This window comes from Homo sapiens, chromosome 8 (assembly GCF_000001405.40).
Source record: "Homo sapiens chromosome 8, GRCh38.p14 Primary Assembly".
NCBI lineage: Eukaryota > Metazoa > Chordata > Mammalia > Primates > Hominidae > Homo > Homo sapiens.
The window spans coordinates 105,317,166-105,329,324 of NC_000008.11; the positions used below are offsets into that span (position 1 = coordinate 105,317,166).

General features: G+C 38.2%; 1 protein-coding gene across 4 annotated transcripts in view, besides 1 other annotated feature; it reads left to right on the forward strand.

Annotated features, from left to right (window-relative positions):
- Nucleotides 1,273-12,159, forward strand: part of ZFPM2 (zinc finger protein, FOG family member 2) — a 486,102-nt gene continuing 475,215 nt past the window's right edge. For 2 of the 4 annotated variants that reach the window (NM_012082.4, NM_001362836.2), the window contains exon 1: nucleotides 1,273-1,816. In NM_012082.4, the coding sequence (NP_036214.2) occupies nucleotides 1,777-1,816 (40 nt within the window). In that variant the 5' untranslated portion in view covers nucleotides 1,273-1,776. The other 2 variants (XM_047421634.1, NM_001362837.2) reach the window with 2 other exon arrangements.
- Nucleotides 4,137-5,466: an enhancer, noted in NCBI's record as "VISTA enhancer hs195". NCBI's record gives its function as "enhancer in: midbrain (mesencephalon)[7/10]" and the evidence as "EXISTENCE:transgenic organism evidence [ECO:0001131][PMID:17130149]".

Sequence of the window (12,159 nt, forward strand, 5' to 3'; positions counted from 1 at the left end):
GGGACTCATGTGAACTGCAGTGGAGTTTATTAGTAAATACTGATTACATAAAGCAGCTAGTCCCACTGCACTTGGATAGAAGCTCCTTCCAACCCACATGGGAGAATATATTTAATACTTACCGTATATGAAACTGTAAGAAAATAAGCTAACCTCATACAGTTTAACTTGGCCAAAATAATAACTATGCAAATCACCTCAAAATTTGTTCTCCTTTTGGCTTGCAGTTGCCGATATACTACACATACAGTAATTGAATAAGAATAAAACAAAATTTTAGAAGCTAAAGAACCATTAAATAGTTACTGGGTCTTACCCGCTTGGGAAATTACAGCAAGATCAAATCTTTTATTAGTCGATCGGTGCTTCCCTGTGGCAGAAGACTAAGAGAATAGAAAGGTCACGGGGCAGGGTGGGACTACAGAACTTCCCCAGACTTTCCCAAAAAGTTAGTATTTTTATTAGAGATGGTTCGTTTTCCACTTACGGCTAATCAGCTAGCTAACGCTCGCTCCTCCTTTTCAAGATGAGAAAAATATCTGCTTGTCTCCAAATTTGAATATTTTACAATTTAAAATGGAAACTGTGGGTGACAGAACACGTTGAGGATCCGACTCAGCACCTCATCCACGTGGGCCCAGAGCGGGACGGTCCGTGTCCGCAGCGGTCTCCTGGGAGCCTTGAGAGCAAAGAAATGGTCTTCTGAGAGCCTGGGCAGATGAGCGGACTTAACTGGCCCCAAGACACACAGTTGGCATTTGTGATCATCTGGCTCTCGCCGAGGACTTTGCCAGTGGCCTAACCTTCCTGCCAAGAAGCTGGGAGGGCGGGGGTTGGGGGTGAGGGGAGGGGGCGGCATAACTGAAAGCACAAAGTTTAGGGAGAGACTGAGATTTCTTTGTGCCCCGCTGGACTGGCGAGGCGTGAGAGAGGAGAGTTGGGGTCCCTCAGAGAGGGCCGTTGGAAGAAGTTGCCTGGAAGGAGGTGGGGCGGGGTGCCCTGGCAGCTGCCCAGCGTTGACGCGGTGACAACTGCAGAAGGTGGCCCTCCTCCAAGCCGTCCCCACGCCTCCCCTCCAACTCCCACCCACCCCTGCCCCCATCCCCCACCACCGCCTGGATCCCCCGCACTTCGCCCGACCAAGGCCGGGGCCGTAGTTTGCATCCGGACTGGATTTGGATGCAGCCAATCCTCCTTTGGCTGATGGAATAGTCTCCCCTCCCCACAGCCCCGGCGCGCCCCTCCCTCGCGCGCCTCGCCGCCTCCCGCCGCAGAACAGGAGCTGCGCGGCCCGGAGCGGCGGCGGCGGCGCCGGAGTATCCGTCCCGCACGCCGGGGCGAGGGGCGAGCGAGCGCGCTCCTCCTCCCGCGCCCTGCGCCCCCGCGCTCCCCCTCTCCTCGCTGCTCGCTCTCCCGTCCCTCCCTCCTTCTCTTCCTTCTTTCCGTGTTATTTTTCTCTTCTCTTTCCCCTTTTCTCTCTCCCTGACCGTTCGCTTGTACATTCCCATTCTCCCCCCGTCGCTCTCCTCTCCCCCTCCCCTCCTCACTGTCACACTCTCTGTGCCCCCGTCTCTCTTCTCTCATTTGCTTGCTCATCTCCGAACGTGAATCCGCGGCTCCCGGAGGAGCCCAGCGCCCGGAGCACCTGGAGTCCGGCCGGCGGCGGGCCGAGCCTGGCCAGCGGCGGCGGCGGCGGCGGCGGCGGCGGGAGCCGAGGGAGCGGCAGCCGCGACCGCGGGCACCGCGGGAGCCCCAGCGGCAGCAGCCGCCGCCGAGATGTCCCGGCGAAAGCAAAGCAAACCCCGGCAGATCAAACGTAAGTTTGCGCGCGGGGCCGGGAGTTGGTGGGATTATTGCCCAGGAGCGGGGTGCGCGGGACGGGAAAGCGGTGGGTGGGTGGCGGGGCTAGGGGAGATCCGCTCCCGGTCCCCTAGATGTCTCAAACTTTGCCTGAGCAGTCGAAGGGACAACTAGACAGTCATAGACAGACAGACGGCCAGCCCGAGCCTCGGGCAGGAGAGAGGCTGCGAGGAGCAGCCCATGCTTGCCCCGCTCAGCCCTCGCGCTCCCGGGCTGCTTTTTTAATTCCGACCCGCGCACGCTGCGAGTCCCCGGCGCTGTCGTCCAGCCGGAGGGGCAGTCCCGCTCCTTTAGACGCTTATTATTGTTGTTGTCATTGCTTTGTGCGATTGACGTGGGACTACTCTTGGGAACCACTTTTAGTAACCAGGGTAGAAACTTCTCAGAAAAGCTGGGCGGTCGAGACCTCGGGGCGAGGGAGGTAACTTCCCCACGCGGTGGAAAATCAGAGCGTCAGGGTCCCGATCCTGGGCGGTGCCAGAGCCACACCAAACCCGAAGCGAAACAAAAAGTAGGTGTAAAAGTTCGCGCCTCTGCGGCGGGCGGCCGTGCGTCTCTGCCCTGCGGGCGCGGGCTGGTGGCTGGCAGGTCGTGTCCTGGGACTTCGGGCGGGTCCGGCTCACGCCGCCAGGACGCTCAGCCGAGCGGGGATTCGGGTGGTGTCTGGCCCTGGTGGCGCGCGGAGTCCTCCCTGGGAGGGGCCGCCAGTCACTTCCCAGCGCGGAAGCTGTGAGTTCAAGGCGGTGGGCGCGCAGGGGAGTGCATGGCCCTGAGCCCCCGGGTGCCCGGGGGTCCCGATGGTGCTTAGAGGACACGGCGGGTCAAGAGACACCTTCCGAAACAGGCACGCTCGCAGAGATCAAGTCGGTCAACTTTTCTTGGCTTGGGGAGAATTCCTCCAATAGCGTTTTATAGGCCTGCGACATATCTTCAACGCTTTGGCCGAAAAGAAGAAAAAACCTTATTAGTTTATTTTTTGCTAGCTTTATGATGTGTCTGTTTCACCGTGTTGCTCAGAGTCTGCAATTAGTTTTAAACAAATTATGATGTAATTTAAGGATAAGACTTTAGTAGTATCCCTTTCCCCCCTGATTATTAACCATACTCGCCCCACCCCCAAATGTTGAAAATTCTATTTGGTGTAGTTTAAAAATAAATCTTATCAATCAACTTGTCCTTGAAATGGGGGCCAGGTTATAAACAGTTATCAACAGTTAAGTATTCAGATCTTTGTGTGTGTGTGTGTGTGTGTGTGTGTGTGTGTGTGTGTGTGTCTGCTACTTAAACATGACTTTCTAGCTTTTATTTCTTCGATTCCTTCTCTTATACTTCAGTTCTCACTCTATGCAACTTGGGTTAAAGCAAGTACTGGACTTCACTTTTGGCTCAAAGCAGTTTTAATCAAGTAGCGATATCGTTTTTGAAGACTCACTTTTTCAGAATGATTATTCATGGTTTCCACCAATTGCCTTGTAGTTTTTAGGACTCAATTGATCAGATTCCTCTGTTTAAATGTTGCATCTTAGAATACAAAACCGTGCTTATTATAAGATATGATTATAAACATTATTAGATACAAATGCTTTTTAGTTCATGGCTGTCACCTGGGTTTGTTAATAAATAATTAATATTAATTGATTGTATGGCACAAGACCATCTGATTTTACTTGGGAATACTTTGTTATCTTCTCAATTAGCTACATTAATTTTTTTATTTCCTTCTATGTCCACCTCATATAATTGAAGATTAAAGCATTGAAACTAATTGCTGATGCTACTCTTGTGTTACAAGTCATAAAACATTTTAGTGGTTTATTTGAATGCTGTGATTTATTAAGTATCAAAAATGCTTGAAAGTTATTTCATTTGAAAGTGAACAAATATATTTATATATTTATTCACAGTGAGCATTGCCTGCTGATATATGCATACATATGTATTATTTATATGCATGTAATACTTTTATTGGATTCAATTTGGGGTCACAGTGATAATCTGTGCAAATGTGGACACCCCTTCTTCCATTCCACCGTTAAGAAAAGTGAAAAATTAAAGGTCTTTGAATTTCTATACTGGAGTAGTCCTCTTCTTTTAGCTTTTTTAGGGGGTGGGGGAGATACTTAAATGTCGTTTGACCAGCTTTAAAGTCATTTTAGTTGCAATCTATTGACGTTTGTCTCCTTTTGCCTGTTCAGGCATAAGAGGCAGTTTCGCAGATGGAGAAGTTTGTGTTGATATCCAAAGTCGTTATTATTGTAGGTCTCTCCCCCCAGTTTTAGTAGTGCGTAAGAAGTGCACCATTTTCTATTACAAACAACACTGTTACTTTTGATGTTCTGGATCAAATATAAGTTTGGAGAATCTCAGAAAGCTATGCTCTGTGAAACAATAGCATTTCACGCCAGTAATAAAACTGCATTTTAAACTTGGAAATGTCCAGGATTAGAAAATAAAGCTTTGGCACTGCTGATAAAACATACCCAATTTGAAGCAACTATGACAAGCAAAAAGTCAGCTTATACCAGAAACTCTGAAGACAGTCAATTTAAAGGACAAAAAGGTTGTTGGGCACAGTTTTTTTTTTCTTTTACTGCATACAGTTCCCTGCTATCTAAAATTGTGATTTATGCAGTATTTTAATATTTTGCTTATTCTTTCCCCTTGGGTGCTCTCCGGGCAGCGATAAAAAGGCGACGCTGAAAGAGCACCATTAATTTGCTATGATGACTGGCCAGATAAGAGGAGATAATGGGAAAGATAAGCGGAGAAGATATACCATCAGAAACCCGATTATTACCATTAAAATTCCAGCCCAGCAATCTGCAGAAGCCTGATAATTCCTTCTCCGTTTCCACCACTTTGGATGATAAGGCAAAAAATAGTCACTCAGTGCTCCTTGATTAGACTGCCTGGATTTCCTGATAATACAGTGATAAATTATGTATTTTGCCCCCATGTTTTGTCCCAAAATTCAGATTTTTTTTTCCTATTCCAAGACTATATTTTCTGCCCTCCCCTCAGAAGCTTTCTCTCATAAGCTATTATTGTAATCCTGGTTTGATAAAAAGCCCTGATAGGACGGGAGGTGTTTGGTGTGGGAGCCATATCATGCTATCAGCCCATCTCCCCGCACAGCTGCTCGCTGTTGTTGTTTTTAGCCTTATCACCTCCTGCCAATATGCCAATAAATTGCCCAGATTGTTCTCCATTCTGGGGCTGCAGTGCAAAATTTATGACAGAAATGATGATTTTTTTCTTTTACCAATGCATCTCTTTATGATTAGTAAATGTGTTGTGTGTGCAGTTTTATTGTTATTTTCTTCTTCAAGCTGTTGTCTCTAGTAATGTGTTTACTGCCTTATATGTCCCCAACTCCAGTCACACTGAAGTGTATTGGCTATGGGTGCAGGAAGAGGTGGACATCACTTTTTTTTTTTTTTTTTGCAAATGAATGTCATTATCTGCTCTCTAGTAGTTAATATAGAGCTTGAAAAGGAGAAACTCAAGTAATTTATTTTTGTATAAGATTAGGAAAAGGCACTCTTCTTTATACCATAAAAGTAGAGTTTTCATAAAACTTTTAGATTGCTTGATCTTTTCAGAGCGTAGTGCATAAATGTTTGGTCTAGATCAGGTGCCAAATAATTTGTGGTGAAGTATAATGAAAGGGTGAATTAAGAGGCAGAATGTTTTCTTCTTGAAAAGTGAAGCAGATACTGGAAATTAGCATGCATGTTGAAAGTAAAATGTTCTGGTTAGAGAATAATCTTGTTAGCAGTTCGGTAGAGGGTCTTTCCCAGAAGTTGGAATCCATTCATATTGAATAATTACCATTTTGTTATTTGAGATGATATAACAATTTTAGGCCGTACGAATTCCTAACTTGCGCATTGGCATTTTAATGTTCTATGCTATTTTTATAAAGGGTAGGTTATAGTCAATATTTTATGCATAAAACAATTATTGTTTTAAAATAAGAATATTATATATTAAATTTATTATTTAATATTTGTCACATGAAAACCTCTAGTTGGATCATTTCTATAACCTTAAAATTATGTTATGCAAATAATTGAGTATGGCTATTTTTCATTGTTCTATGGGTCTTTTAAAAGTCTTTCTTCTATTGATATTCAATCTATAATTTTAGGGTTAATTATCTACTGTGTTGTCTTTGATATTTTTATTTTTAAAAATGTTTTGGGAATACTACCTATATTTGAAAACATTGATCATTGTTATACACAGTTAGAATGTCTTTTTTTTCTCCTGCCAAATATTAAGACAGGTTTTTGTTTTGAAACAAATAAGTTATTTTTTTTCTGAATTTTAGGGATAATTGAATATAATGCAAAATAATTCTTCTCTTTGGTCTGTAATACTTCTCATATTGGAGATTTTTATTTTCTACATTTTTGACTGAGCAACATTTCGGAAAACCTATTTTTACACGTGCCACAAATTAAAGGAACCTGTATTCTGTATAATAGTTGTTTTAGCAATAAAACAGATAGAATAGTACCTATTGCTTGTAAGATAGCATAAAAATAATTTCCTGATTTATGAATTTGAAATAATATCAATGCATAGATTTTTTCTGGAAAAATCTAGGAATAATTATTTAGTGGATTTAAAAACAGACAAATCTTAAGATGACCAATATAGTCATTTTGGTTTTTAAGAGTTAAAGACAACCTAAGAAAGTTTACCTGTAAAAGATCATTAGTCATGAAGTTAGGTTTTTTAAAGTTCAATGGAGTCAGCAATGTAAATATAAATGAACTAACATTTTTATCTCTAATTGCTTAAGAGTTTAGGGCTAAAACTTGGAGATATGACTTGAAATAAAAGAGTAGGTATGTTTTCCACTTCTGGTAACTTTCAAAGTAGTTCATTTGTAAAATTATGGAGTAAGAGGGACTATCAAGTTTAATATTATATATCTTAGTATTTCTTGGGTGAACACACAAGTTTGAATTTTCTATAAATTGCAGTTAGAGACCTTAAGAATAGTAAAATTGCATCAATTTGGTTGCTATGTGACTTGCCATATATTAAGTTGGTATTATTAAGTTAGGAAGGAAGACAATGCAATTAAGTGATTTGCTCCTGATTTTTATGTTCAGCCAATTTAAAATTTCATTATATGTTTAAGAGTTAATACAAAGATTTATACATTGCTTTGTTTGGGGGTAATCTGGGGATAAATTAAGATAGTCATTGATTATATCAATTGTCTAGCCTGTATCTATTAATATATCTATGTTTTGCCTATATCTATATGTATCCATATTATTATAGTAATGTCCATTAAGTTAACTTTGCATTACAGTTAAGGTAACTCATTTTTCTTGTTCATGAACTGTCCAAGGACTTTCTCATCCATGTTATTTCTGCTAGTTGAGGCCTTGCTATTCAAGAACTAATTAGCTCTTTTTTCAAATGATTTTTAAAAAAGAAACGAAAGTCTAATTAGCCATTTCACTATTAGTTGTTACCACTGGAAAAAGTTTTAAGAGGACAAGATTAAACCTAACACTCTAGCTAAAATGAAGGATTTGGGACTAGTGTATGGATTTCTAGTATCGATGTTTTTGTTCTTCCCCATAACCAGGACAGATCAACAATGGACTTCTCAGTTGCATTTTAATCAAACCCTATTTAAATATATAACTTTTCCTCAAAAGGTATTAAGTGAATAAACTAATTTTATTTATTCTACATTCTGTAATTTATTTTTACATTTCAAGAAAACACCTTCCCAGATGAACTTTCCTTGAAAATAACTTAATGTGTATTCAAGTTTTAAATAAAGTGATACCATTTAGAGAAAGTTTTTTGATGTTTGGCCAAATTGTGTGAAGAATATAACATTAGATTTGTATGGGAATAAGAAATATTTTTCAAAAGTAGCTTCCTTTCTTAAATGTAATCTTTGTTCACTAAAAAGTATGAGTGGATATGTTAACTTTGGAGTTCTTATCCTCCAAGTCATATTCCCTTGGATTCTTTGTTACCTTCCCAATTCCAAAGGACTAGTAGGATATTTCAGAGAAACACTGCAGATGTTTTTGAAACCCGGTCTAATTCAACACCTGCCACTGTGTAAAATTATCAGTTCATTCTCTCATCAAACGAATAGCAGCAAAAGTCTGTTACTTCAGTCCAGAGAATGTGTTTTCACCATAGATAAAGAGGTAAGTATGTATCGTTTAATAAGGTTACATTTTTAAAAACTGAAATGCAATTAAATTAATAAGCTCAGATGTGGCAATATTTGGCATTCTGGAAAGAACTATCTCTTTAAAGGTATTAGCATAAAGATAGCACATTTGTTTATTATGCTTCCAAATCAGCTCCTAGTATCTCTGCCACAGGTAACAATTGACTTTTCAGGCTTCAAGTTAATAGCCTTGTCTCTTGCTTGTAGGGATCAATATTAGTATTAATTAATCACCATTATCGGCACTAGGATCTGGTTCTATTTGTTGTTACATCAGCAAAATATCAATATAGAAAGTGGACTCTCTGATCGTCATGGCAACTTCATCTCTTGGGTCAAAGAAAGTTTATCTTATCTGTGCATAGAGAGTGGCAAACTGTTTAGGGATCTAGTTTGAACTCTAAGAACATTGATTTAGTTTTTGTTTGCGAATAGAGGCTGAATTCCAATCACAAGGGATAGGTAAGATTTAAATATTAATGCCGAGAGGCTTGTCTGAGAGGGTGTCATACCGTTACTGTCAGGCCGTCTTTTTGAGATGACAAAAAGGTAGAGAAGAATTGTCTAGTCAGGATTATTTAAAGTTTTAGTAATTTGTGCTTTTGACAAATACTTTTAAAATGAATATGTGATTATCATTAGGTAGAATTGGTTTTGGTCAAGATTTCACATGTTAAAATAAAAGGCTATTCTTTTTTCTCTTTCATTTCTTCTTTCCTAGTCTCTTATTAATATCAACTGTATTTAGAAAGTATCTTTGAGGACTAGTTTTTGCCTCACGATGAGTGTGAGGTAGCTAGTCCTATGTCTACGGTGAGAGAGTTTTGCTGTGTAGTTTCAAGTCCAAGAAAGAAGTTTATCTGAGGATATTTTCATATTAGCAAATACTTATTTCTAATAAGGAAAATCCTAAACAATAAGGTGAAGGAATAAATGCCTTTGGAGAATTCCTACAAATATAATAAAAGATCGTAGGTTTCCAAAACCAGGAAACAAAATACACACTATTTTGCAGCTATTCCTCAGATATGCTGATTACTTAAAATGAGCATTTTTAAAATCAGATCATTGGAAATTAGTCTTTTAAAAAAAAGTTATGCCGGAGAGTAAAAGCTAGATTTAGAAATGATGCTTTAAATATTCTACTTTTCTTTTAGGATTATGGGCACTAAATACACTTAAATGTTTGTAGATTGGGGAACTCTATATGCAGCTTACAATTTCAGAGACTTAAAAAAATGAATATTCAGTGCCTGATGGCTATAACCAATGCCATATTCATTCCAAGCATTGTCTGTAGAGTAGCTAAAAACTCTTTTTATAACCTGCAAGGTAATGCTATTTATTATTTAATATTCTGGTAGTATTCCCATGTATGTAAAGCAAGGAATTTGCTAATAAGAGACACTAATATAATAGTTAATATTAAGTAGACTTTCATGTCATCTGGTCATGTGCCACTAACTGCTTAGTTTTATTTATTTGTGAAAGTCCTCCCCTTTGAATTGCTAGAAACTGTTGAATGGTGTTAGTCTGATATTTTCATGGAGGTGACTTGGCTGTTGCTAATGTCAGATTTATCATAAACAACTCATAAATATATATATATATATAAAATAAGCTATACATAGACTATCACAAAATATATAAATTTAATATCCCACACAAAAGCTATAACACCTAGTTTTTGTGGAGGCCAATAAAATGCTATATTTTAATTTGTATTTAAATTTTAAAATGAATTTAAAAATTATTTTTAAATGGGCATTTATTGGAAGATATATTTAATGTTATTTGTCAATTGATTTCTTTCTTAGAAAGATAAATTCTTTGGATGATATGAATTATTCTAATCCACATTTGGAAAACTTTTGTGGGCATCTCTTATTGAGAGAGAAAAAAAGATTTTTTAGCTAGTTGACATCTGTATAATATTGCATAGGAAGATTTCTTGCAAGTGTAAGTTAATCTACATAGATTTTTTCAGTAATAATCTCTAAAATTCTTTTATTTTTCACAAAATTTGCAAAATTTTAAAAATATGAATAGAGTGAAGAATTAATTACAAAATTTAGAGTTAGAAGCAAACATTTTTTCTTTATTTTCTGTTAATATGGAACTTTAAACTTTTAATTTCTGTATTAATTACTCCCTTGGAATATTGAACAATGGTATACTCTTGAAGAAAAACTATTTGCTTCACTGTGGTATGTCCTGAAATTATTGGGAGCCTGCAGTAAATTGAGGAATAGAAGATTAAAAATAGTGAATTGACGAGTCTTCAAGTTCAGTTGAGGGCCACATTTCTCTTATTCTATACAGAAAAAATAGCTAAAAATCATGTATTTCAAAGTACTTTAAAATAATGATGAAATAAAAATTGTAAATAAAAAATACACTCAATTTTGTCCATTTTCCCTTTGCATGCTACATTAAGATTACCTAGTTTGGAAGAGTGGCTTTAAAGCTTAACACACAATTCGATTAAAAGATCTGATTATTTATAATTCACTGACAAAATCTGTCATAGATTAATTGTAGCATATTTGGTATTCAAGAAAAGTTTTAAATTTATTTTTTATTACTTACAATAGCATAAAAGGCCTTTTTTTCATTTTCTAGTAGAAGCTTGTTTAATTTCCCATAGCTAATGTCTCCTAACAGTAAATGCCATGGACTGGTAAGCCTTCATGCTCCTTGTGTGTGCTGAGAAGTTCAAAGGCATTTGTGTGTGTGTGTTTTTTCTTTTTAATAAAACCCTGTGAATTCAGTGCGAATCATTTGGAATGATGTGTTTCTCACTGTATACAAATTATTTTCATGGTGTGCATTTTCATCCATGTCCAATATGTCAGTGTAATACTTTGTGATGTTATATAGCCCATACTTACATGATTAAAGTATGCATTTATTTGGATAAATTCTGTGAAGAAATTTTATGCTGTTTTTAAATGCTTTTCAAAATATAGCTCAGTGAATGTATTATTGGGGGATGGATGTATATTGACAACATTACCTATTAATGGAATGCTTATATTCATCATGAAGCTTGTTGTTTTGATTTTAAGAAAGATCTAAAAGTTTAATTTCTCCTTGAAGAAAAACAACAAAGTGAGGCAAGAAGACAGTTACTAATGCCAACATAGAATGCTTATATCCACAAAATATATGTATATTTTACTCTTCTTGCTTTTGTGTAGAAATTATAGAACGAATATCTGCTTTGAATTTGAAAATTTCAAATTTGTAATCTGTGTTGTAATTGTCTTCTTACCTCAACTGTTTATGTATAGCAGTATATTCTGGACTATGCCATTAAAGTAGGAAGCCAGCTAACCTAGATTTGGCAACAGCATTGAAGGTTTAAACATGTTTTTTCCAAGACTGTTGTCAATATAAATAGATTAAATGGCTTTTAATTTTCTAAGTTATTTTTATTTATTTAGGATAAAACTGTCTGAATTTGTATTGTGCACACTTACCAATCAGTTCTTCTTTCTCTTCTTGAAGTGACATTCTCAAATTCTCATTTTGGTAGCCTTTCTGCTTACATTGACATAAAAATAACCAGATTTTCCAATGCTGTTTGACTTGTACATAAGTACTCTTGCGTTTTTTGGAAATATTGGGCCTCCCACCTCCAAATGAAGACTCAGTGTACAGGGGAGACTGACCAACCTGGGACTTGAGTGAATCTGAAATATTCAAGTGTTCATTTGCAAATATATTAGGTAGCTGCTAAAAATATCACCCCACTTCTTAACAATGTGCATCTTGGACAAACAGGCACATATTTTGTCATCAAGTTGCTTAAGCTTCTGAAGTCAGGGCTACAACTGGGTCAGATGATAAGATGAGCACAACAGAGAAACGAAGAGAGCGTCTGATAAAACCTGATTGATTGATGTCTGGCTTCCCCACCATCACAGGCAGTTGACAGTTAGTTTGGGATCAGATGATTTGGCTTTTGCGATAGAAGATGGGGCCTGGTAGGCAAGCCTGAAGGACAAAAAGGTCAGTTTCTGTGTAGTGTCAAGTAATGTCGAGCTCCCACAAGGTGGGACATTATTAATATT